A 24236-nucleotide genomic window follows, 5' to 3' on the forward strand; every position below is an offset into this window, starting at 1 on the left:
TTAATGAAATTACCAACATAAATAAAGGCACAGGCCAATTCCCCAGGATTTCTGTGCCCCTACCCCCCACTTCCTTAACAGGTCATGAGGAATTGCTGCACTTCTCTCCCAGCTGTCCCCGGGGGTCCACCCCATGTCCCCATGACACTCCTGCAGGCAAGTCACCATCCAAGTCCTGAGGCCCAGACTTTGTCTAGTGCAGGACCGTTTCCTGCGTAGGAACTACTGTCTACTCCCATCCCAAAGTCCCCCACCCCAGGACCTACTACGTGCCATGTCCTGGCAACTCTGAGAGGCAGAGGGAATGGCTCCATTTTACAGACGAAGACCTGGGGCTTGGAGAGGTGGCCTGACCTGCTCAAGGTCATGCAGGAAGGAGGGGTGGGTTTCAGCTCATGTGCATCTGGCTGCTGCTGCCATATCACACACAAACTCTTCCCCTTTCACCGCGCTCGGAGAGAGCCCCACGCTGTGTATACCTGGCTCACTTCCCCCAGTAGACAGGGAGCTCCAGATGCTCAGGGCCATATCTGACCCATCCTCATATGCACAGGCCCTAGCACAACACCTGGCACACAGTAGGTGCCAGTAAATGCTGAAAGAACCCTAGAGGTCTCCCAAGCCCCAACCTCTCTCTGCATTTCACATGGGAGATTATTTTTAGATAATTTACATTTCATGTTACTTTATATACACCAACAACTCCACAGTCATTTTTCCTCTTTATCTTCTCAAGAGCTCTTTTTGGATCTATGCTGGTATGCATGCCCGTTTTTAAGAGGTGACCACTCAGAGCGGGGAAGGCACTACCCAAAGGCCAGCCCCAGGGGCGCAGGGGCTTCTGTGATTAAGAAGCTCAGACCCTGACTTTTTCCATGTGTCCCTTGACGGTTATCCTTCCAGCACACTCTTCCTGAGAGCAGAGATGCTCTAGCCTGGCAATGGTAATGATAACTGTGGCAAATATGCCCTGTGCCTGGGTGGTGGGGTCCTTGTGTGAGCCCTGGTCTCTCTGTCCAGTTCCAGGACCCACTTCAATAACCACTAAGCCGGACCACCTCTCCACCCAGGCTGGGTCTTTGCCTGCCTTTCAGAAGCTAAAAACCTGGTTGTCAATCTTGGGCTGAGTTCTGGCACAGCAGAATGTATAGTATAATGAAAAGAACATGGGCTTCGGGTGGAGTCAGATTTGGAAGTGAATCCTGATGATTATTTGGCGTGGCATTCTTCATGCTCACAGGTCCCACTTGGCTACTTCACAATGGAATGAAGCCATCATTCCACCCTTTGCTGGGTAACCTCAGGCAGGTCACTGAGCCCCTACTTCATCATCTGTATAGCGGGACAGGATGTCACAGATGTAGAGATTCAACAGGATGAGAGTGCCTGAGCTGTGACGGGTGCCCAGTAAGTGCCATTTTCTCCCTCATGGGGCCTCGAAGTATTCAAGGAGGAAGACAGGCATTGTTGGCACTTTTTGTGCTTCATTCATTCAACAAACATTTGTTTAGCAGCCATTGTGCAGCAGGGGCTTGGGATATGGTCATGGGATCCCCAAGGTCCCTGCCCTACGGGAGTGCACCAATGGGTATGGAAGATGGCTATTGAACAAACCAGCTATTGATCACAACAGCCCGGGGAATGGGCCACGAAGGAAAGAGAGAGCTGTGATAGCAAATAATGCAAAGAAGGGGCTGCTTTTCTTAGGGGGATCAGGGAAGGCCCCTCTAAGGAGGTAGCATCTGAGCAGTGACTTAAATGACAGGTGCCAAGGCATGCTGTTCCTGCATTCCAGGATGAGGGAAGAGCAAGGGCAAAAGCCCCAAGGTGGAAGGAGATTGGCATTTTCTAGAAGCTGGAAGGTGTCCAGTGTGGTGAGACTGAAGTGAGGGAGGAGGGGTTGGAGGGCAGGAGTCTTGAAGACCCTGGGAAATACTTTGGATGGCATTCCAGCTGCTATGGGAGCTACTGGCGAGTTTTAAACGAGCAGGACTGTGGGGTAGAGAAGAAGTGAGGAGAGGAGGGCAGCTGCAGGGGTCCAGAGGTCTGTGGTCTTGGAGGTCAGAGGCCTGGAGGTGTCCCTACTGTGTGACAGCTCACTGCACCAGGCACGTCCCAGCCTCTTGCCCCAAGGGCTCCTGGGAGAGTGGAACAGCCAAGGAGTGAGAACAGCCTACTGCGGCCCATCCCCACTTTTGCAGAAACAGACCCTGGGTCTTCAGCCTATCCGTGTCACTGGGGTCCTTTAGGAGGGGCATGCTGGGTGGGGTGTGGGGTAAGTCTCCCACAATGCCCAACTCCTGGGGGGATGCAATCACGGTCCCAGGGGGCAGCTGCTCTTTTTTGATTTCCATTCCAGACACCTGCCAAAGGAAAAAGTAGGCTGCCCCATGAATCAAAGGCCAGGAGATCCTCTGCATTTTTAAAAATTTTGAGACAGGGTCTCGCTCTGTCTCCCAGGCTGAGTGCTGTGGTGCAATTGCTGCTCACTGGAGTCTCTACCTCCCAGGCTCAAGTGATCCTCCCACCTCAGCCTCCTCAGTAGCTGGGACCACAGGCATGCACCACCACACGCAGCTATTTTTTTTTTAATTATTTTTTGTAGAGACAGAGTCTCTCTTTGTTGCCCAGGCTGGACTCAAGTGATTCTCCCGCCTTGGGCTCCCAAAGTGCTGGGATTACAGGCATGAGCCACTATGCCCGGCCTCTGGATTTTTTTTTTTTTTTCCACACTTCGTCCAGGTGTCCAAGGGAGACTGGAGTTGAAGCACAGGGAGTCCAAGCCCCCAGGGCTCACGTCCTCTCTGAATACAGATAGTAACGTAATCACTCCTGGGCTCAAGTGATTCTCCCGCCTTGGACTCCCAAAGTGCTGGGATTACAGGCATGAGCCACCATGCCCGGCCTCTGGATTTTTTTTTTTTTCCACACTTCGTCCAGGTGTCCAAGGGAGACTGGAGTTGAAGCACAGGGAGTCCAAGCCCCCAGGGCTCACGTCCACTCTGAATACAGATAGTAATGTAATGGGTCACAAGAGCTTGGTGATGAAGGGTTCTCAGAGTATACAGTCCAAACCCTGCCTCTGATAGATGGGTAAACTGAGTCCCACAGGAGCAAAGAGGCTCAGGGCCGCAGGACAGAACCAGGTACCTGGCCTTTGCCTGATTTGGCCCAGATCACCTGCCTTTCACTGAGCTCTGACCCTGGGCCCAGATGAGCGGGGATGCCTGCAACTTGACAGTGAGGTGGCCCTGACTGTGCCACAGGAAGTTCCAGGCCTGGGGTGGGGCAGAGTGACTCAGGCTCCCACAGAGGCCTGTCCACGCAAGGGCCAGGAAGAGCAGAGAGGCCCCAGAGCCTTGGGGAGAGGTAGTTACCACCACTGGGTGCTGGTGCCCCTTCTATCAAGGGCTTGTGCCACCACCTGCCATCCCCCTATTCTATAGCATCCCCCTGCAGTCTGCCAGCCATGCTGAGCCGCTGCTGTACGCCCACCTCTCTAGAAAGGCCTCCTGACCTCTCAGGTTGGGTCAGGGGCTTTCTCTGGTCACTCATAGAGCCTTGGGCTTTCCCCCTCCCAGCTCTGACCACAGCATTTCACGATGGCCTCATTACCTGTGTCGACCAGTGCCCAGCACAGGAGCTAAGGCTTAAACGTTATTGAATAAATGGATAAATAAGCAACCAACCAACCAAATGAATGAATGAATGAATGAATGGGCTTATCCTCAAAAAGCAGGTGCTAGACTGAAGTCTACAGCATTTTCCACCATGCTACTATGCTTCCTCCATAATCAATCCATCCATCAGCATTTATTGTGCTTCTCCTAACAGGCTCTGCTGTTGAGTGACTGAGTCCCTTAATCTCTCTAAGCCTCAGTGTTCAATGCCGATAAAATGGGAATATTAATAATTATCCCTAACTCACAGGGCTGTCGTGAGAATAAGCACTCAACAAATGCTAGCTCCTATTGTCATTATGCCCATCCATCATTCAGACGTTTATTTGGGCATCTTCTGTATGTCAGCCACCATGCTTGGTGTTTGGAATACAGTAATAAACAAGAGGGACCTGACCCATGAAGCTCAGGGACTAGCTGACTTTCAAAAGATCATGACAGGCCAGGCACAGTGGCTCACCCCTGTAATCCCAGCACTTTGGGAGACCAAGGTGGGTGGATTGCTTGAGCCCAGGAATTCAAGACCAGCCTGGACAAAATGTCCAAACCCCGTGTCTACAAAAAAGTACAAAAAAATTAGCCAGCGGTGGTGGTGTGCACCTGTAGTCCCAGCTACTTGGGAGGCTGAGGTGGAAGGATTGCCTGAGCCCTGGAGGTAGAGGCTACAGTGAGCTATGATTGTGCCACTGCACTCCAGCCTGGGAGACAAAGTGAGACTGTCTCAAAAAAGAAAAAAAAAATCATAACAAATGGGTTTAGAATTAAAAACAAAAAGTTGCCATGAGGCTGGGTGTGGTGGCTCACGCCTGTAATCCCAACATTTTGAGAGGCCAAGGTGGGCAGATCACCTGAGGTCAGGAGTTCGAGACCAGCCTGGCCCATATGGTGAAACCCGCCCCCGCCCACTAAAAATACAAAAATTAGCCAGGTGTGGTGGTGGGCACCGGTAATCCCAGCTACTCCGCAGGCTGAGGCAGGAGAATTGCTTGAACCCAGCGGGCAGAGGTTGCAGTGATCCGAGATCATACCACTTCACTCCAACCTGGGCAACAGAGTGAGACTCTGTCTCAGAAAAAAAAAGTTGCCATGAGAACACATGGCAGGGGAGCGGGGCGCCCAGATCAGCACCTTCGAGAAGTCCCACTCTAAGTGCCCTAAGGGTCCTTTGGACCAGAAGATGGAGCACTGGGCAAAGTGGAGGGGAGGAGAAAAGTGTCTCTACTCCTGCAGTGGCCCGCGCCACACTGCCTGTGGAATTACGACTGAGTGGGAAAAAATTCTGTCCACCTTGCAGAGTTTGAGACCCGCTCGAGTCCAGCATCCCCTTTTTTCCAGAAACTAAAGCATAAAGAGATAAGAGAACTAATTTGTCGAGGGATTTCATTCAAATGTCACCTCCCCTGAGGAGCCTTCCTTGACTGCCCTTCTTAAAAGTCCCCCAGTGGCCCTCCATTCCCGTTCCTTACTTGATTCATCCTCATGGACTCAGTGCCACCTTCCTTTATAATACATATGTATTTGTTTCCTGTCTCTGTTCATCTCACCTACTGGAATGTACATTCCTAGAGGGCAGAGCTCTGTCCTGTTCACTGCAGTATCTCCAACATCCAGAACAATACCTGACACGTAGTAGGTGTCCCATATGTGTTTACTGAATAAATGAATGAATGAAAATCCCTGAGAGAGAGAGAGAGAGAGAGAGAGTGTGTGTGTGTGTGTGTGTGTGTGTGTGTGTGTGTGTGTGTGTGTGTATTTTGACTATACACTGCAATGAGATCCAGGAAGATTTCTGCTGAATTGGAGAGGCAGGGGCCTTTTTTGCTTATATTCATTTTGTCTTTGGCAAGTCACTTCCCTTCATTAAGCCTCGGTTTCCTCATCTGTAAAACGGAGCTAGTGCCTGCTTTGCAGAATCTTTGTGAAGCGTCAATCAAATACGGTGCAAAGTGCCTAGGTGGGGCCTGGCACACAGTAGGTGGGCAACTCTGTCATTTTGATGGAGCCCTTGTTGGGGGAGGCCTGTGAAGGGGGATCCCAGGGCCTGAGCCTCTCTGCAGGACACAAAGGAAGCTGACACTGGATCTGTCCCGTCACCTGAACTCACCAGTAATTTATTGATGCTGGATGCTGGCACCCAGCAGCCTGCTGGGTCAGTCTCAGGGAGCAGGTGTAGGGCCCTCGGGCCTACCCCAGCCTCACCCAGGCAGGGAGGGGAGGGGAGCCTGGGTCTGCCCAGCCCAGGAAAATTGATAGGTCAGCCCTTACAAGTCAGTCCCCTTCTGTGTGCCAGGCAGTGCAGGCAGAAAAAAAAACAAGTGTGGTTCCTGCCTGGCCTGAGCTCATAGAGGGTTGAAGTGGACATATTTCAAATAACCAAAATGGTGAGAGCTGCATGAGGGCCTACTATGTGCCAAGAACTTCGTACCTATAACCACATTTAAGCCTCATACAGGGCTTAAATGTGCTGAGGTCGCACAGCTAGTGGTGGGGCAAGAGGAGGGTTTGCACCCAGATTTGCCTGGCTCTAAAGCCAGGGCACATTACTGCCATCCCGCCCCACTCAGGCTGGCTGGGCCAATGGGCATTAAAAAAAAAAAAAAAAAAAAAACGGGCCTGGCACGGTGGCTCACACCTGTAATCCCAGCACTTTGGGAGGCTGAGGTGGGTGGATCATTTCAGGTCAGGAGTTAAGACCAGCCTGGCCAACATGGTGAAACCCCATCTCTACTAAAAATACAAAAATTAGCCAGGTGTGGTGGTGCACGCCTGTAATCCCAGCTACTCGGGAGGCTGAGGCAGGAGAATCGCTTGAGCCTGGGAAACAGAGGTTGCAGCGAGCTGAGATCATGCCATTGCACTCCAGTCTTGTCTCAAAAAAAAAGAAAAAAGAAAAAAAAAAACACTAAAAAAAAGCTCTTGGCTGGGCACCGTGGCTCATACCTATAATCTCATGGCTTTGGGAGGCCAAGGTAGGAGGTTTACTTTAGGCCAGGAGCTTGAGACCAGCCTGGGCAACATAGTGAGACCCCATCTCTACAAAAAATTTTAAAAATTAGTGGGGTGTGGTGGTGTGCACCTGTAGTTCCAGCTACTCAAGAGGCTGAGGCAGGAAGATTGCTTGAGCCCAGGAGTTGGAGGCTGCAGTGAGCTACGATTGTCAGAAATCTGGTCACAATCATAGTGGTCAGGGGGGCATGGAGTGCTTTCAGTGGCCACTGCATTCCAGCCTGGGTGACAGAGTGAGATCCCATCTCAAAAATAAATAAATAAATAAATAATAAATAAAAATAAAAAGGAAGAGCTCTGGGAGTTGAAAACTGAGAGTAGGTGCTTTCCATGGGAGGCTTCCTTAAGGCTGAGACCTTTAACCGGCCTTCAGCGGGTAGATGGAGATACCAAAGGGTGAGTGTGTTTTAGGCCAGAGAAGCAGCCGAGTGGAGGTCTGGAGGGAAAAGGGAGCGATCTGTTTGCACTGTGGTGGGCATGCCCACCTGGGAGAGCACCAGGGCCCAGCAGTGGGCATGCTGGGGCTCTGAATGCTTGGCTAAGCCTTGGGCCTCCCTGGTGGGACATGGGGAGGGAGCCATGGGAGGCTGCTGAGCAATGAAGCCACTGTTTCCCCCTGACCTATATATTGTAAGAGGCCTGCTAGTCAGGCCAGAGTGTGCCTGGCCTTCGAGAACCTCTAACATCTAGCTTCAGCCTCACCTCCCTCTACCAGCTCTCTGGACCTGGCATGTCACAGGCAGCCAAACACTTACGGCTCATTCTCACCTCTGCACCTCTGTTCTCTTGGCCCCTTCTCCTGCAATGCCCGCTCTGTCTACCCAGACCCTACCTAATTGCTCAGGTCTTCCTTCCAGGCCATTTCCTCCATGAAGCCTGCCCTGACCACACCAGCCCTGAGTTACATGCCTCAGCCTCAGAACCGCCGGGGGCCTGGGCTGGGAAAGTGCCCATCCTCCTCTCAAGTCCGCGGCACTCGCCATCCACCAAGATGGGCTGCTGCTTTTACCTGCATAGCAACTTTCTTCTCCTGGTAACAGCATCTTGAAATCCCTTTGAGAAACCGCCTCCTTCATATTCAGAGCATGTTGCTGGAGCCATACTGACCTGACCACTGAAAGCATTGAATGACTAGGCCACTGAAACCATCCCATGCCCCAACCACCGTGAGTGTGACCAGATTTCTGAGAACACCGGCCGGGTGCGGTGGCTCACGCCTGTAATCCCAGCACTTTGGGAGGCCGAGGCAGGCGGATCACCTGAGGTCAGGAGTTCGAGACCAGCCTGGCCAATATGGCAAAACCCCGTCTCTACTAAAAATACAAAAATTAGCCGGGTGTGGTGGAGCATGCCTGTAATCCCAGCCACTCGGGAGGCTGAGGCAGGCGAATCACCTGAACCTGGGAGGCAGAGGTTGCAGTGAGCCAAGATCACGCCATTGTACTCCAGGCTGGGTGACAGAGCGAGACTCCATCTCAAAAAAAAAGATTTCTGACAACACCCTTTGAGCCCCTGGATTCAACCACACCTAAAGGCCCTTTTCTTCTTCACTTAGGTCTCTCAGTGCTGGATTTCCTGCAACCCCATGAGCCCTGACGGATGTACCATTTGTTCAGTGCAGTCAGACCCCCTCTGGTCTGGCCCAGATGGCTGTACCAGCCTCCTCTCTGCACTCCTGGCCTCTAGGTTTTCCCTTCTGGTACACCAGAATAAAGTTCAAACTCCTTGGTGTGGCATTCAAGGCCTTTCACTATCTTGTTCCAGCCTCTACTTCTCTCTGTGCCAACCACACTGAACCTTCCATTCCCCTGAACAGCAAGACTGCGTTCAGACTTGTTCGGATGCTCCTTGACTTACAATGTGGCTAAGTCCTGATAAACCCATTGTAAGTTGAAAATATCATTGTAAGTCAGTCAAAAGTGCATTTTTTTGTTTGTTTGTTCAGTTGGTTGGTTTTGTTTGTTTTGTTTTGTTTTTTGAGATAGGGTCTCACTCTGTTGCCCAGGCTGAAGTGCAGTGGTGAGATCACGGCTCACTACAGCCTCCACCTCCTGAGCTCAAGCGATACTCCTGCCTCAGCCTCCCAAGTAGCTGTGACCACAGGTGTGCGCCATCATGCCTGGCTAATTTTTGTATTTTTTGTAGAGATAGGGTTTTGCCATGTTGCCCAGGCTGGTCTCAAATTCCTGGGCCCAAGCGATCCACCCACATTGGCCTCCCAAAGTGCTATGATTACAAGTGTGAGCCACAGCACCCAGCAAAAATACGCTTTTAACTTACCGCATTTCCAACTTATTCTAACAGTGGGTTTACCTGGATGTAACTCCTTTGTAGTCAAGGAGTATGCTGAATGCATATCACTTTGGCACCATCGTAAAGTCGAAAAATTGTGAGTTGATCCCTTGTTAAGTTGGGGATCACCTGTATATGCAGTTCCCCTCAATCACTGGGACTGCCCTTCCCCACCAATTCTCTTCCTGAAAAACTCCTACTCATCCTTCAAGATCCCATTTGATTGTCACTCCGTCTGCCATGTTTCCCTTGACCCCTAGGCAGGGTAAGATATCTGTTCTCTCCTGGCACCTCAAGCTCCCTGGCTGGTCTCCTTCATGCAGTGACCACCTGATGTGGTTATTCTCTTCCACCTGGCTACCTTCTTCCCTGACAAGGAGCTACTCGAAGACAGGGTCATGTCTTGTTCATTTTTCATCTCCCAAAGGGCCTATTAATAAATAGTTGTCAACTGACTGACTTACCGACAGGGCACTCAATCCAAGTTCATATTCCTGAAATCCTTGCAAACCATTAGGTAACTATTTTTGCTGGTCACCTTTTCCAGTTAACCACTCACTGGGTTTTCTTTACTGCAGGACTTCTCAGAGGCATTCACGTGCTAATAATAGCACTTCAACCCTCCCTGAAAGGGAGAGAATGCCAAAGCTGGCCTAGGCAACGGTTTGAGGTCATCTGGTCCATTTTAGGAATGGGGAAACTGAGGCCCAGAAAGGGACAGAGACTCATCCAGGCACTTGATGGCAGATCTGGGCCCTCAGTCCAGCCTTGTGTCCCCCAGTGCCCTCCTGTCTACATCCCACTGCCTCAGGCCCAAAACGTTAAGAGTGAGGGCTCTGGAGCCAGACTGCCTGCATTTGAGTCTTGTGCCCGCTCTCACCAGCTGTGTGACCTTGACTGAGTGACTTAGCCCCTCTGAGTTTCAATGTCCTCATCCATAAGGTGTTGACAATAACAGCACCTCCTTTATGGGGTTGTTGTCAGGGTTTAAGTGAAGTGGTCCACATAAAAGCACTTAGCACAGGCTGGGGACGGCAGCTCATTTCTGTAATCCCAGCACTTTGGGAGGCCGATGTGGGAAGATCACTTGAGGCCAGGAGTTCGAAACCAGCCTGGCCAACATGGTGAACCCCCATCTCTACTAAAAATACAAAAATTAGCCAGGCATGGTGGTGGGCACCTGTAATCCCAGCTACTTGGGAGGCTAAGGCAGGAGAATCGCTTGAACCCAGGAGGCGCAGGGTGCAGTGAGCCAAGAGCCACTGTACTCCAGCCTGGGCAACAGAGCGAGACTCCGTCTCAAAAAAAAAAAAAAGCACTTAGCACAGTGCCCGGCACATAGTAGGCCCCCGGTAAATTGCCACCAGCATCTCTATAACCTTAGATTTCTCAGGAAATAGCAGACACACTGAGCCTTGACATCTTGGAGAGCTGTGGTTCTCTCTGGAGAAAGATGCCAATTAAATACCAGGTCCAGGCTGGGCTGACCTCCCACATGGGGCCTGCTCCTGTGGAAGCCCAGATGTTGGGCCTTCCTCCTCCCTGACTTGAAAAAAAGGTGGTTTTTGTTTAGAGGAATTTTCCCTGCATTTTCATATTGGCTCTATAAGTTGGATTTTGTTGAGTGGTTTCTGACAAGCAAGTTGTACAGGCATGTATGTGGAGGAGACGCAAGGCTGCCTGTAGCCATGGGGGTGGATCTGAGGCCTTGAGTTCTGCCAGCCACTGGCCATGAGCTCAGCCCCTGGACAGCTGCATCCCAGGGAGAGTGTCTGTCCTTGGGGTGATCCAGAAGGGCTTCACCCCTGGGGAATTCTTCTAGAGGTTTCCCAGAACCTTCCCTCAGAGGAAAGGCTCACTGGCAAATGGCCTGCCACCTTCCCCACCCCACCCCAGCAAACTCACACCCTGGGTTCAGGTTTGTGGTGTTGTGGTGGGGGAAGTCCCTGAGTCTCCTACCCCCAGCTCAGTCCCCTTCAAGATGGATAGTCAGGGACCAAGAGGTGGAACACGGAGCTTCTCCATATCTTCAGCAAGCCAAATAAGAAGCTAACATATGAAAGCAAGAGAGATTTCAGTTAGACAGCAGGAGAGACTTCTGCCCTGCCAGATGGCTAAAACCTGGGCTGTGCTTGGCCTAGGAAAGAGCACTAAGCTAGGAGTCAAGACAGCTTTGACTGACAGATCCCTTGGGACTTTGGGTCACTGCCTCATTTTTTCCCTCCCTCGGTTTGCTCGTCCACAAAATGGGGATTATAATTCCTATTTGCTACAGAGCATTTCAAAGGCAACAATGGGGTGAGGCCTTGAGTCAGTGGCAGGGGGCTGCATCAGATCACCTCTGCAGGTTCCCTGTCCTCTCTTTTTAGAAGGGATTCTAGGGCCAAGGCCTTAGTCTCAGGTGCAGGGGCCCAGCGGTGAAGTGTGTGCATGTGCAGGTACACGCAGCACTCCAGCCACACTGCAGGCACTAAGTCATGTTGGTTTTCTCCCCCTCTTCTCAGGCCACTACCCAGATGCAAAAAATGGCCTGGGCAGAAGTTAGGAAGCCTGGGTCCTAGCCCTGGGTCTGCCCCCGACTTTCTCTGACTTTGGCCATGTCCCTTACCCAACGGGGCCTCGGTTTCCCCATCTGTGCCATGAGGAGTTTGGATGGTTTTGAGATTCTTCTCTCTTGGCTCTGTGAAATCCACAACCGGCCCAGTGAGGTCTGACCCCTGCTCGCCTCCCTGGCCATCACTGGGCAGTTCAGATACACTGACCTTCCTTTGCTTCCTGGAATTTTCCAGCTCCCTCCCACCCCAGGACCTTTGCACAAGCCCTTGCCCCGCTTACCACAAATTCACCTATTTTTTTTTAGATGGAGTCTTGCTCTGTTGCCCAGGCTGGAGTGCAGTGGTGTAATCTTGACTCACTGCAACCTCCACCTCCTGGGTTCAACCGATTCTCCTGCCTCAGCCTCCCAGGTAGCTGGGACTACAGGCGCCCACCACCACCTCGCCTGGCTAATTTTTGTATTTTTAGTAGAAACGGGGTTTCACATGTTGGCCAGTCTGGTGTCGAATTCCTGAGCTCAAGTGATCCACCCGCTTCAACCTCCCAAATTGCTGGGATCACAGGTGTGAGCCACTGCGCCCGGCCAAATTCACCTGATTAGCTCCAACTCATCCTTAACAGCACTCAGCTCCATCATCACCTCCTGAACACCCCCAGACCCCTCCTCCAGGACGCACTCTCACAGAGTCCTATGCCCCTCCTTTGTAATACTTAACCACCCCTGCATTTCACATTTATGTTGTTCCTTGATTGAGAACTGTCCACCGCACCCCTGGCTGTGAATTCTATGAGGTCAGAGACTGGATCTGTCTTTGTCCCTGTGGTGCCCCTGACACCCAGCACTGGGCCTGGCACAGAGGAGATGCTCAGCCGTTGAATGGATGGGCAGACGACCTCCCCATTCTTTGGGACCAGTATAGGGCTGTCTCTGCTCACAAAAGCTCCTCCCTCCAGGCACCTATGCAGAGCAGACCTGGTGGTGAGGAAGAGGGGAGGCCGCTGAGGACCTGAGGGGCTCCACCCTTCCCTGGGAGCTGAGGTGATGAGAGGCCCTGCCTTCAGAAGTTGGGCTGGGAGACACGGGGAGCCCCGAGGGGTGCGTGCTGTTTACAGTGCACACCCACGTCTGCGCTCTCTCTCGGGGGCTCTCCCAGCCAGCTGAGGGCTCCACAGGGGCAGGTAGTGTCAGCTCCATTTGCCAGACAAGGAAAACAGCCCCAGAGGGATGCTGGCTGGAGGAAGGCTCACATGGCAGGCACAGGACAGGGCTGAGGTATGACCCCAGGGGTGATGAAGCTGGAAGGGCTTTCTGCTCTCCATCTGACAAAGGCAGGAACAGGCACAGAGGGCAGGGATCAGCCTAGGGTGTTCTCAGCCAGTCAATAGCAAGGTGGGGACAATAGGAATCTATAATTCTTTTTTCTTTTTAAATTGATGGTTTTGGCCAGGCACAGTGGCTCATGCCTGTAATCCTAACACTTTGGGAGGCTGAGGCGGGCGGATCACGAGGTCAGGAGATCGAGACCATCCTGGCTAACACGGTGAAATTCCGTCTCTACTAAAAATACAAAAAATTAGGCGGGCGTGGTGGCGGGCGCCTGTAGTCCCAGCTACTCGGGAGGGTGAGGCAGGAGAATGGCGTGAACCCGGGAGGTGGAGCTTGTAGTAAGCCGAGATCGTGCCACTGCACTCCAGCCTGGGCGACAGAGCGAGACTCCGTCTCAAAAATAGTAATAATAATAAATAAAATAAAATAAATGGATGGTTTCTGGCTCTGTTGCCCAGGGTGGTGTGATCGCAGCTCACTGCAACCTCCAACTTCCAGGTTCAAGCGATCCTCCTGCCTCAGCCTCCCATGTAGCTGGGGCTATAGGCATGCACCACCATGCCTGGATAATTTTTTAAATTTTTTTGTAAAGACAGGGCCTTGCTATGTTGCCCAGGCTGGTCTTGAACTCCTAAGCTCAAGCGATCCTCCCGCCTTGGCCTCCTGAGTAGCTGTAATCACAGGCGGGAACGACCGCACTCGGCTGGGAATCTGTAGTTTTTGAACTCTGATACCTTTCTCCTGCTAGGCTGAGGCAGAGGATTCCTGGCCTTGACCCTGGATGACCCTGAGGCTTCAGATGATGGATCACACCACAGGGCAACCCGTGGGAGTGGATAATGTTGGCAGAAGCACTCTAAGGATTTGGGTAGCAGGATAGTGCCAGGCAGTCTGGGTTAGAACCCCAGCTCTGCCACTCACCAGCTGTGTGACCTTGCTCGGGTGCTTTTAACCTCTCTGTACCTCAGTTTCCTCATCTGTGAAATGGGGGAATTCTGGGTTAACTAGTCAATAGAACAAAGTACCCAGAGCAGGGAAGGTCTGAGACAGTTTCTAATAAACATGAACTCTGGAGCTGACCTGGCCAGGAACAAGGGGAGTGACTAAGTCCTCTCTCTGTACCAAGGCTCTGGCGTAAGAAGTACCAGCTCTCAGCTTTGTGCCCTCAGGGCCACTGGAGAAAATGTCAGAGAAGGGCTTCAAAGATCACAGCGACTGTTCTTTGAGCCCACTGCTACTCCACAACCCACTGAATCCTCACAAGTGCCCTATAAAAATCAGGTTCAAGGCCGGGCATGGCGGTTCATGCCTGTAATTCCAGCACTTTGGGAGGTCGAGGTGGGCAGATCACTTGAGGTCAGGAGTTAAGACCAGTTTGGCCAACGTAGAGAAACCCCTTGTCTACTAAAAATACAAAAATTAGTTGGACGTGGTGGCGGGTGCCTGTAATCCCAGCTACGTGGGAGGCTGAGATAGGAGAATTGCTTGAACCCAGGAGGCGGAGGTTACAGTGAGCCAAGATCACACCAGTGCACTCTAGCCTGGGCGACAGAACGAGACTCCGTCAAAAAAAAAAAAAAAAAAAAAAAAAAGCAGGCTCTATTATTCTCCCACTTTACAAGTGTGAAAACCAAGGCTAAGGCCAGTGTCTTGTCTAAGTCCCACAGGCTGTGACTTGCAGAAACAGGGCGCATGCCCGAGCCTGCTCTTGGGGTCACTTGCTCTGAAGAGCCCAGGAACCAAAGGGTGAAGACAGAGTTGAGTTGGCCCTGGGGAGTGGAGTCCTGGAGAGAGGTCCTGGGCTGGGGCTGGCGGGCTGGGGAGAACTTGGACAGCAGGCATAGGTGGGAAGTGCAGGTACAGCCCTGTCTCCCCAGGAAACCAGGCCTGAGGTGTGCCCTGTTAGTCAATCACATCATTTGCCTGGTGCCTGTAGGGGCTAGCTCCGTGACGGCAAGGCTGAATCTTTGGTCCCCACTGTATGCAGCACCCAGCCCAGGCCCTGCCCACTGGCAGGCACTCAGTGGATGCTTGTTGAATGACTGAGTGGACCAGGCATCCTACTCTGTGGTCACCAGACTGCTCAGTGATCATGAGCACCATGCTACAAACGAGGAAACTGAGGCTCAGGGTGGGGAAGGGAACTTTCCCAGCCCACCCAGGTCTGTCTGAATCTTTTGTTTTTGTTTTGAGGTGGAGTTTCGCTCTTGTTGCCCAGGCTGGAGTGCAATGGTGCAATCTCAGCTCACTAAAACCTCTGCCTCCCGGGTTCAAGTGATTCTCCTGTTTCAGCCTCCCAAGTAGCTGGGATTACAGGCATGCGCCACAACGCCCAGCTAATTTTTTTGTATTTAGTAGAGGTGGGGTTTCACCATGTTGGCCAGGCTGGTGTTGAACTCCTGACGTCAGGTGATCCACCCACCTCAGCCTCCCGAGTGGCTGGGATTACGGGCATGAGCCACTGTGCCCAGCCTGTCTGAATCTTTCTTTACCCTCCTCCAGGAACATGATCTCAGGAACACATATCTCCTTTTCCAGCCGGAAGTACCTGAGAGAGACCCCAGAAGGTGGATAAGACTGCAGAGAGCAGGGAGCATGAAGCACCTTGCCCAAGGTCTCACCAGGCAAGAGAAGGGCGGAGAAGGGCGGCTTCTTCATGGATTGTAAATCCCCAAAGCGTGCAAACGTAAGGACTCTCTTTAGGGCTCAAGGGGTCTAAACTTACCCTTTTACATACGGAGAAACTGAGGGCGCCCCAAAAGATGTGTCATCTCCAGGGCCACCGAGTGGTTGAGCAACAGACTGGAACCCAGCGTAGCAAATGGAAAGGCCCCGAGGCTGGCACACAGTATGAGCTGAGGCCAGTGGGCTTAAGAGCGACTGGGGAGGTGGGCTGGGGCCAGGCCAAGCAAGGAGCGTGGACTCCAGACCACAGCCATGGGGAGCCACTGGATTGGAAAGGTCTAGACACCATCTGGCTTGGGTTCTCAAGAGACCCCTCTGGCTACTGGGGACTGACTGGCCTGCAGGAGCGTGGGATGGGAGTCAGGAGACTTGGGAGGGTCAGGCCAAAAGCCGTGGAGTCATCTCTGCCCCTGGCCCTTTTCTCTCACCCCTTACATCTGATCCATCAGCAAATCCCTTTGGCTCCACCTTCAAAATATAACCGGAATCTGACCACATCTCACCGCCCCATTGCTGACACCCCTAGCAACCTCTCCCTGCACCTGACTTCCAACCTGGCCCTGCCACCCACCCTCCATAACACAGCCAGAGGGAAACGGCTGAAACAAGAGTCAGATCGCACCCCTCCCCTACTCCAAAGCCCCTGTGGCTCCCCACCTCACTCAGAATAAAGTCCTGAGCCTGGCCCTGGAGGGCCTCATGCTCTGGTCGCCCTGCCCATTCTGGCCATGTGTCCCCAAGGCTCTCGCCCAACCCCTGGCTGCGGCACACTCACAACTTCTTGGCATTCCTGCCTCCGGGCGGGCGTCTGTACATGCTGGGCCCCCTGCCTGGAGTGCCCTTCCTCAGATGTCTGCAGGGCCAGCTCCATCTTCTCCTTCCTGTTGTCAGATGCCACCTTCCCAGGAGGCCTCCCTAACCACCCCGTTTAACATGGCCCCACATCTCCTTCCGTCACACACACATGCTTTCTCGGCTCCATTTTCTCCAAAATGTGCGTCACTTTCCAATGTACCATTTAATGAACTTATTCATAGTGTTTATTCCAGCTCTGTCCCCCATTAGGATTTCAGCTTCCTGAGGACAAGGTTCTTTGAGTGGCCCATGCCCAAAACAGGCCTGGAGCATGGTAGATGCTTGGTAATGACATGCTGTTGAACTTGAGTGGTTTTCCTAACAATTCTAGGTGGGAGATCACCCTCATCTCCTGTCACAGAGAAGGAAACTGAGGCTCATGGAGGAAAATAAATTGCTCGAGGTCACAAGGCCAGGACACTCTGGGGCTGGGGTTTGGACAGAGCCTCCTGCTCTGTCCGGCTCAGGCTGGCATGGGCTGGGAGCAGGACCTCTGAGCTGGCGTGTGGCAGGGGCCCTGCCAGGTGCCCTGCGGTTGGTACCCTCCCTGAGGGGCCATGGCGGGCTGGGCCGGGAGAAGGCGGTGGCAGCCCTGGCAGTTCCACCCGTTCCAGGGTGGTGTAAGAGCAGGTTGGGAAAGGCCCAGGGGCACCAGATCCATCCTACAGTTGCCCAGTCCTCAGAGCCTGAACGGCCACGGGTGAGAAAGGAAGTCAGCAGGATCCAAAATAGGCCTGTGTTTCGGGAAGTGAAACTGGGCATCGGGGACGCCAGGCCGGAGGAAGGCCTGGGCCTCCTGGGTTGGGGGCCCCCGGGGCGGGGGTCTTTCCTTGCCTCCTTGGCCTGGGGACAGTTGGTCTTGGGACTGATCCCTGCCAGGACCTTGGGAATGAGCTCAGGCCCCTCTCGCAAGCCAAGTGACCCTGGACACATCACTTCAGCTCTCTGATCTTCAGTCTTCTCATCTGTAAAGTGGGGCTAAGGGTAGGACTTGCCTCACTGGGGACTGGGAAGGTGAGACTGTGCCCTGAAGCCCAGGATGGTCACAGTTACCCTTGGCGTTGCAGAGCCATCGTGGGTGCTCCTCGTCCAGGAAGCACCCCCAGATCCTTAGATCAGAATGAATCACTCCCTCCCCAGTGTCCCCAGCCCCTCTCAATTTCTTTCTATTTTATTTATTTATTTATTTTTGAGACAGGGTTTCACCCTGTTGCTAAGGCTGGAGTGCAGTGGTGCAATCATAGCTTACTGAGGCCCCGACCTCCCAGGCTCAAGTGATCCTCCCACCTTAGCCTCCTGAATAGCTGGAACTACAGGAGTGTGCCACCATGCCGAGCTAATTTTTTTTTTTTGTATTTTTTGTAAAAATGGGGTTTTGCCATGTTTCCCAGGCTGGTCTCAAACTCCTGGGCTCAAGCCATCTGCCCACCTTGGCCTTCCAAAGTGCTGGGATTACTGGCGTGAGCCACCTTCCCATCCTGCCCCCTCTCAATTGCTTTTGGTTTCTGTTCACATATGTCTTTTCCACTAGAGGAGGCCAGGAGTCCACCTGAGTCTTCTTGGTGTCCCCAGTGCCCAGGATAGAGCCTGGCGGATGGGAGGTGCCACCCATGGGCCAAATGAATTAGTGAAGGAGCCAGGGTCGGAGGCCTGTGGATGCCCTTGAGGGGTCTGATCCCTGCCTCCCGACAGCCAGCTCCTCAGGGGTGGCCTGGAGTTTTGGCAAGAGGAGGCTCTGAGGGCAGGTGAGTCATGTTTCCCCTGAATCTCAGTTTGCTCATCTGTAAGATGGATGAGAAATGGGACCCACAGCTTCTCTGTCCCAGATCAATGAATGGATCACCCAAGATGCCACTCTAGGAACCTCAGAATGTGCCTGGGGCAGGGCTGCCCCAGAGTGGAACCCTTCAGGCCCAGGTGACCTGCATTCTACTTTCTCCAGCCCCTCTCCTGCCCTGGCAAGAAGCAGGACTTTGTAGCAGAAAAACTCAGGTGTAGCGGGGCGGGCAGGGAAGGTGTTACCACCTAATAGAATCAGGAAGCTCTAAATAACGATGAAGTGCACATGCTGCAGGGGGCCTTACACCATCCAGGCTTTACAGCTAAATCCCAGAGAGGTTAGGCTACGTGTCCAAGTTCACACAGCAAATTAGGGCAGAGCAGGGAGTGTGCCCAGCCCTCCTGACTTTCAGTCCCAGGGTTCATTCAGCCCATCTACCCTGAGCAATTGCTGGACACCTGTGAGCACATTTCATAGTCACCGCATCTCCACAAAAGCGAGAATCAGAACACCCATCCTACAGATGAAGACCTCAGGCTTTGAGAAGGGAAGGCTCTCCCAGGACCTTTCTCACCCACCTGAGGCCCCACCTTTGGACCTACTTAAGGGCTCCTGAAGGTCCCCTGAAGGCTGGGCCTCCAAGCCCAGGACTAAACTCAGAGCTGTGTGGCTCCTCCAGGAAGGACCTCCGAAGGTCCATGTCTTCCTGAACTTCCCATCAACCTTCTCATTCTACCAGTCTCACCCAGGAGTCAGCTGCTTGTGCACACTGGTGCCTGGAAGTCCCACTGTGCACTCAACTAGCTAGACTGAGAAATGAGAACAAACACGCGCTGCCCGGCATTTGCTGTGTGCTGGGACTGACCACAGCTCTCCCGAGTCTCACAGGATCTCCGTGAGGTCAGCTCTGCGATCGGCCTCATCTCACAGTTGGGGAATGTCATGCACACCCGTGACTGAGCTCAGCTCTGAAAACCTGTTCCTCTCTCAGTTCCCAGCCCGGGGAGAGGCACCACTGTGCTGAGCACCAGGAGTCACTCCTGGCTCCTCCCACAGCCTCTCCCCCTACAGCCTGTTAAATCGACCTCCTAACTTAGCCACTAACCTGCTCTGTGAACTGAGACTAGTAACTAGTAATCTGTCAAACAGGATAACAGCCCAGGCCCGGGAAGAGTTGCAGGGACTCGCCACCACTGCCCAGCTGTGTGACCTTGGGCAGGAGAACCCACCTCGCTGGGCTGAGGTTTCCATATCTATAAAGTGGGGATGATAATATGGCTCACTGTCCAGGGACGTGGTAAGGATTCAGTGACCCCCTCCCTCTTGTCATGCCTGAGACTTTGCTCCAGAAACTCTCCCCATACAAAGTGCTAGTTTTTCTTGAATTTTAAAAGAACCCTTCTCTGAGCACCCCTCCCTTCTCTGCTGTCCCGTTTTTCTCCAGCTGTCCGGTTTTTCTCCAGCCCTTCGCTGGAACGCCCTGAAAACACACCTATTCTCGCTGTCTCCAGAGTCTCTCTCCCCTCTTCTCCCTTCAATCCACTCCCCACAGGGTCTCCCCTCCCCCTCCCGAGGAAATGAAGAAACTTCGCGTTTCTAAACCTGCCCAATGCCATCTCTCAGACCTCCCTATCTGGACCTGTCAGTAGCATCAGATGCAGCTAACACCTGCTGCTCCTTCAAACGCTGTCCTCCCCTGGTTGTGAGAAGAACCCTCCCTGCCAGTTCCCTGGCTGCCCCTTCTCAGTCCATTTTCTGCCTCTTCGCCAATCTCTCCCTCACCTCTCAGGCTGGGGGCCGTGGGCTCAATCCCTGGGCTGCTGTCCCTTTCCATCTGCCTTCCTCCCTGGCTGACTTTAAAGACCGATTCTCTGCTGCCCTCCACACTGATATCAACAACCTGGACATGCCCCCTGAGCTCCAAAGCCACACATCCACTTCCTCCTGCACAGCTCCTCCGGGCTTCTCCAGGATCTCCTGATATTTGCACATAGATCGGTTCCACCCTCAACCCTCCTCATCCCAGAGAATGGCGACTGCATTCTCCCCTGGCCCAGGCCGGAACACTGGCTGTCATCCTCAACCCTTTACCCCGTCCATCTCTAACTCTCTCTCATCTGTCTCTAATTCTTTCTCTCTGCGTCTGTCTCCCTCTCTGCCTCTGTCTTTCTGACTTTGTCTCTCTGTCTCTCTCCCTCTGACTCTGTCACTCTGACTCTGCCTCTGTCTTATCTCTGTCTCTCTCTCTGTCTCTGACTCTGACTCTCTGTCTCTGTCTCTGACTCTCTCTCTCTGTCTCTGACTCTCTGTCTCTGTCTCTGACTCTGTCTCTGAGTCTCTGTCTTTGTCTCTGACTCTCTGTGTCCCTGTCTCTGACTCTCTGTGTCTGTCTCTGAATCTCTGTCTCCCTCTGTCTCTCTCTGTCTCTGACTTTGACTCTCTGTCTCCTCCGTCTCTGACACTCTGACTCTCTGTCTCTAACTCTCTGTCTCCCTCTGTCTCTGATTCTGTCTGACTCTCTGTCTCTGATTCTCTGTCCCTCTGTCTCTGTCTCCCTCTGTCTCTGACTCTCTATCTCCCTCTGTCTCTGACTGTCTTTGGTTCAGACACTCTGTGTCCCTCTGTCTCTGACTCTCTGTCTCTGTCTTTGACTCTCTGTCTCCCCCGTCTCTAACACTCTGTCTCTGACTCTGTCTCCCTCTGTCTCTGATTCTGTCTGACTCTCTGTCTCTGACTGTGTCCCTCTCTGTCTCCTTCTGTCTCTGACTCTATGTCCCTCTGTCTCCTTCTGTCTCTGTCTCTGACTCTCTGTCTCTGATTCTCTGTCTCTGTCTCTGACTCTCTGTCTCTCTCTGTTTCTGACTCTCTGTCTCTGTCTCTGACTCTCTGTGTCTCTCTCTGTCTTACATCCCACATCACTGCATCAGTGAATCCCATGGACTCTGACCCCAAACACATCTCAGTCCCCAGAGCTGCTCACAACCCCTCAGCCTCCCCTGGGCCAGCCTCCACCATCTCACCTGCATCTTCACTCCACTGCCTCCCTGTTCTGGGGGCTTCTGCCCATGCCGCCTGCAGTCTACTCTCCACCCGGCGGCCAGAGGGGCCCCGTCCCAGGAGAGTCAGGCCCGTCCCTCTGCTCAGGCCCAGCAGTGGCTCCTGTGTCACTCGGAGAAGCCCAGTCCTCATAGAGATCTTCTTTGAGCCTGCACACCCCCGACCATGGCTTCTCCTGCCCAGTCTCCCTCCCCTGCCAGGCTGACCCCACTGTAGCTCCTGCCAGGGGTGTTTGCCTCCTGGAAAGTTCTTCCCCTAGCAGCAACAGCAGAAACATCCTACCTTCTTTCAGGGCCTGGAGTAGGAGTCTCCTTCTGGGGAGGCCCAGCCCGTGCCCTGTCTACCATCCTGACCACTGCCTGGCCCTTCCCCACCTGTCCCCTTCTCTCTTCTGTGCTGTCCTCACACACCACCTATTTCATCTGTTTACCATGTTTGTCGTAGGTTCTCCCAGGAGGGCAGGGCTTTGGGCCTGTGTTCACGCCGCCTTGCCCGGGCCTAGAATAGGGCCTGGCCTGCAGCCGGGAGCCAGGCTGCTCGCTCTTGGTGAAAGAGTGCCCAGGAGGGGCACAGTGAGGGCATGCAGGGTGAGAGCTCTCAGGGCCTGGGCGCGGCTATGGCAACGCAGCCTATGCCTGCCAGTCCCTTGGCGGGGCCTGTGGCCTCCCTGCCTTCACTGCTGTCCACGGCTCTCACTGGCCCTGCCTTCCTCCGGCCTGTGGCCCCACTCAGACCCACCCCATTCCCCACAATGGATGTCAGAAAGGCCTTTAAAAACCTGGATCTAATTATGTCACCCCCTCCCCTGAGCCCTGCAGTGGCTGCCGGTGGCCCTCGGGATCATGTCCAGAGTCCCTGCGTGGCGTGAAGGCCCCTGGAGACCCGGCCTCAGCCCCCTCCCCTGTCTCTTCCTCCCCTGCAGATCTGCCCCCATCTCCCTGGAGGTGGCCTGTTCTCCACGCCACCCTCACAGGCTGCCTGGCGGACTCTCCTCACAGCACTGTGCTTCCCGGGGCCCACTTGTACAGGCCCCATGCGAGAAGGACCTCGGGCAGTGTATAATCCTCCAAGGGCCCACAGGAACAGCAGTGACAACTGTGTTATGAAGCACCTACTATGTGCTGGGGACAAGAATGGAACAAGAAGACATGCTTTGCCCTCACCCCTGGAGGGCAGCTTCCAGCCAGGGAGGCAAATACCTCCTCCCCAGACTCCTTCCACAGATCCCCAAACTCTGCCTCTCTCCTTCAGATCCCTGCTCAGATGTCACCAGCTCTGTGCAGCCTCCCTGCCACCAAGTCTAAAATTGCCATAGTCCCCTCAGTTCCTCACCCCTCTCCCTGCTTTCTTTGTCTGTCTCATCCATGAGGATGTGCCCTCTGGGAAGGGCAGGCAGGAGCTGGCTATTCTGTTCCTTGCCCTGTCCCCAGCACCGAGGACAGTGCCAGGCATGGAGGAAATAATTGCTGAATAAAGAAATAAAATCGACATTCTATGAGACATAAAGCACAGTTCAGACACATGGAGTGAGGGGTGGTTCCATTCTGACTGCGGTGATCCCGGTGGTCTCTCTGAGTAGGTGGCATTGAGCTGAGACCCAGTGATGTGAAGGACTGAGCGTGTGTGGAGGAAGAGTATTCCAGGTGGAGGAAGCAGTAAATGGCAAAGGCCCCGAGACAGGGCTGAGCTCTGTGTGTAAGTGAGGCCAGAGTTGAGTGAACCAGGGGAGAGCGGGGTGGGTGGGGCTGAGCTAGGGAGAAGTTTTCCTAAACCCTTTCCCAGGAGAGTAAACTGAGGCTCGGGGAAGCTAAGTGCTAAGTCCAAGGCCACAAAACAAGGAGAGGCAGAAACAGGCTAGACCTGGGTCTGCTGGTCTGAGGGGCCCTCTCTGTGCACCCTGGGACTCAGCCACGCTCTACTTATTAATAGCTAAGCCAGGTGGGGCCCCGCTGGGTCAGGAGCCCCAGGTTTAGGCTCAGCCCAGTGACCTCCAGGGCAAAGCCCAGTGAGTGAGCCCATGAATGGGGCCGGCTGGGGAACAACTGGAACCCTGGTCTCCCTAGAGCTGGGCCATTGGCATCTGGGGGAAGCCCGATTTGCTGGGGTCGGGGCTGACTGGCTGGGCCATTACCCGCCGGGGGCCTAGAGCCCACGGGGAAGTTGGGCCAGGTTGCCCCTGCTAGAACCTTCCCAGAGTCTAGAGCAGGTGGCCGTGATGCCCTGCTCTCTGCGGCTGGGACTCCAACTACTCCTGTCCCCTCCCCGGCTCACTGCCTGTGGGTCACTCCCGCTGCTCCCAGATGGCCATGCTCATTCCCTCCCTCCACAGGCCTTTTGCCCTGGCTGGTGCCTCTGCCAGGGACTCTTCCCCTAATCCTTGTGTGGCTGGCTCCCGCTCCTACTCGCGCCCCAGCTCAAGGGTCACCTCCTCAGAGGCCCCCCGACCACCTGTCTCAAGCAGCCCTGCTCTCACCCCCCTCACTCTCCATCTGAGGGCCCTTTAAGGTCTTTCATGGTATTTAACAAAAATATCAGGCATCACATGTATTGTGGGCTTGTCTATTGTCAATGCCCTCTCCCTTCACTGGGGTGTAAGCACCCCATGGATCTTGTTCCCTGAAGTCTCCTCAGGGCCCAGCACAGGGCCTGACACTCAGTAGATGATTAATAAATATCTGTGGAATGAGAACATGAGCGTCTACCCCGCTTATTGTATAAAAGCAGCAGTTGAGGTTCAGAGAGGGTAAGTCACTTGCCCAAGGTCACACAACAAACCAGAGGCAGAACCACAGCAGGAGCCTGGCTCAGCTCACTTGACTCTGCGTCCAGTGCTCTTCAGCCTACACCATAACTAGCACTCAGAGTTCAACCAGCCTCACCCCAGCCTTTCAAATACAACCTTTATCCCTCATCCCCATCTTTCGGTCCTGGGAAGAAAGAAAATCTAAGTAGAAGAGGTGGAAGGGGGCAAACAAGGGAGACTAAGTATCACAGGTGA

At 53.5% G+C, this 24236-nt stretch overlaps 1 long non-coding RNA gene across 1 annotated transcript, besides 8 other annotated features; it reads left to right on the top strand.

Moving 5' to 3' along the window:
* The first annotated feature begins 1329 nt into the window (after nt 1-1329).
* On the top strand, nt 1330-22744 carry NOL4L-DT (NOL4L divergent transcript). Its single transcript, NR_034152.1, has 3 exons — nt 1330-1407; nt 15364-15547; nt 22161-22744. It is a non-coding gene; the product is annotated as an NOL4L divergent transcript (long non-coding RNA).
* Nucleotides 10908-10967: a silencer, noted in NCBI's record as "silent region_12802". NCBI's record gives its function as "represses an Ori minimal core promoter by ATAC-STARR-seq in GM12878 lymphoblastoid cells {active_cell/tissue: GM12878}" and the evidence as "EXISTENCE:reporter gene assay evidence [ECO:0000049][PMID:35858748]".
* Nucleotides 11033-11533: an enhancer, noted in NCBI's record as "H3K4me1 hESC enhancer chr20:31184984-31185484 (GRCh37/hg19 assembly coordinates)". NCBI's record gives its function as "activates a minimal SCP1, AML or CMV promoter by ChIP-STARR-seq in naive H9 embryonic stem cells {active_cell/tissue: H9 hESC(naive)}" and the evidence as "EXISTENCE:reporter gene assay evidence [ECO:0000049][PMID:30033119]".
* Nucleotides 11534-12034: an enhancer, noted in NCBI's record as "H3K4me1 hESC enhancer chr20:31185485-31185985 (GRCh37/hg19 assembly coordinates)". NCBI's record gives its function as "activates a minimal SCP1, AML or CMV promoter by ChIP-STARR-seq in naive and primed H9 embryonic stem cells {active_cell/tissue: H9 hESC(naive and primed)}" and the evidence as "EXISTENCE:reporter gene assay evidence [ECO:0000049][PMID:30033119]".
* Nucleotides 12052-12553: an enhancer, noted in NCBI's record as "H3K4me1 hESC enhancer chr20:31186003-31186504 (GRCh37/hg19 assembly coordinates)". NCBI's record gives its function as "activates a minimal SCP1, AML or CMV promoter by ChIP-STARR-seq in primed H9 embryonic stem cells {active_cell/tissue: H9 hESC(primed)}" and the evidence as "EXISTENCE:reporter gene assay evidence [ECO:0000049][PMID:30033119]".
* Nucleotides 15602-16103: an enhancer, noted in NCBI's record as "H3K4me1 hESC enhancer chr20:31189553-31190054 (GRCh37/hg19 assembly coordinates)". NCBI's record gives its function as "activates a minimal SCP1, AML or CMV promoter by ChIP-STARR-seq in naive H9 embryonic stem cells {active_cell/tissue: H9 hESC(naive)}" and the evidence as "EXISTENCE:reporter gene assay evidence [ECO:0000049][PMID:30033119]".
* Nucleotides 17112-17161: a silencer, noted in NCBI's record as "silent region_12803". NCBI's record gives its function as "represses an Ori minimal core promoter by ATAC-STARR-seq in GM12878 lymphoblastoid cells {active_cell/tissue: GM12878}" and the evidence as "EXISTENCE:reporter gene assay evidence [ECO:0000049][PMID:35858748]".
* Nucleotides 19108-19607: an enhancer, noted in NCBI's record as "H3K4me1 hESC enhancer chr20:31193059-31193558 (GRCh37/hg19 assembly coordinates)". NCBI's record gives its function as "activates a minimal SCP1, AML or CMV promoter by ChIP-STARR-seq in naive H9 embryonic stem cells {active_cell/tissue: H9 hESC(naive)}" and the evidence as "EXISTENCE:reporter gene assay evidence [ECO:0000049][PMID:30033119]".
* Nucleotides 19950-20116: a silencer, noted in NCBI's record as "fragment chr20:31193901-31194067 (GRCh37/hg19 assembly coordinates)". NCBI's record gives its function as "represses an EF-1alpha promoter that drives an FKBP-Casp9 reporter gene in an ReSE screen in K562 erythroleukemia cells {active_cell/tissue: K562}" and the evidence as "EXISTENCE:reporter gene assay evidence [ECO:0000049][PMID:32094911]".
* Nucleotides 22745-24236: the final 1492 nt, after the last annotated feature.

Source organism: Homo sapiens, chromosome 20 (genome assembly GCF_000001405.40).
Source record: "Homo sapiens chromosome 20, GRCh38.p14 Primary Assembly".
Classification (NCBI taxonomy): Eukaryota; Metazoa; Chordata; class Mammalia; order Primates; family Hominidae; genus Homo; species Homo sapiens.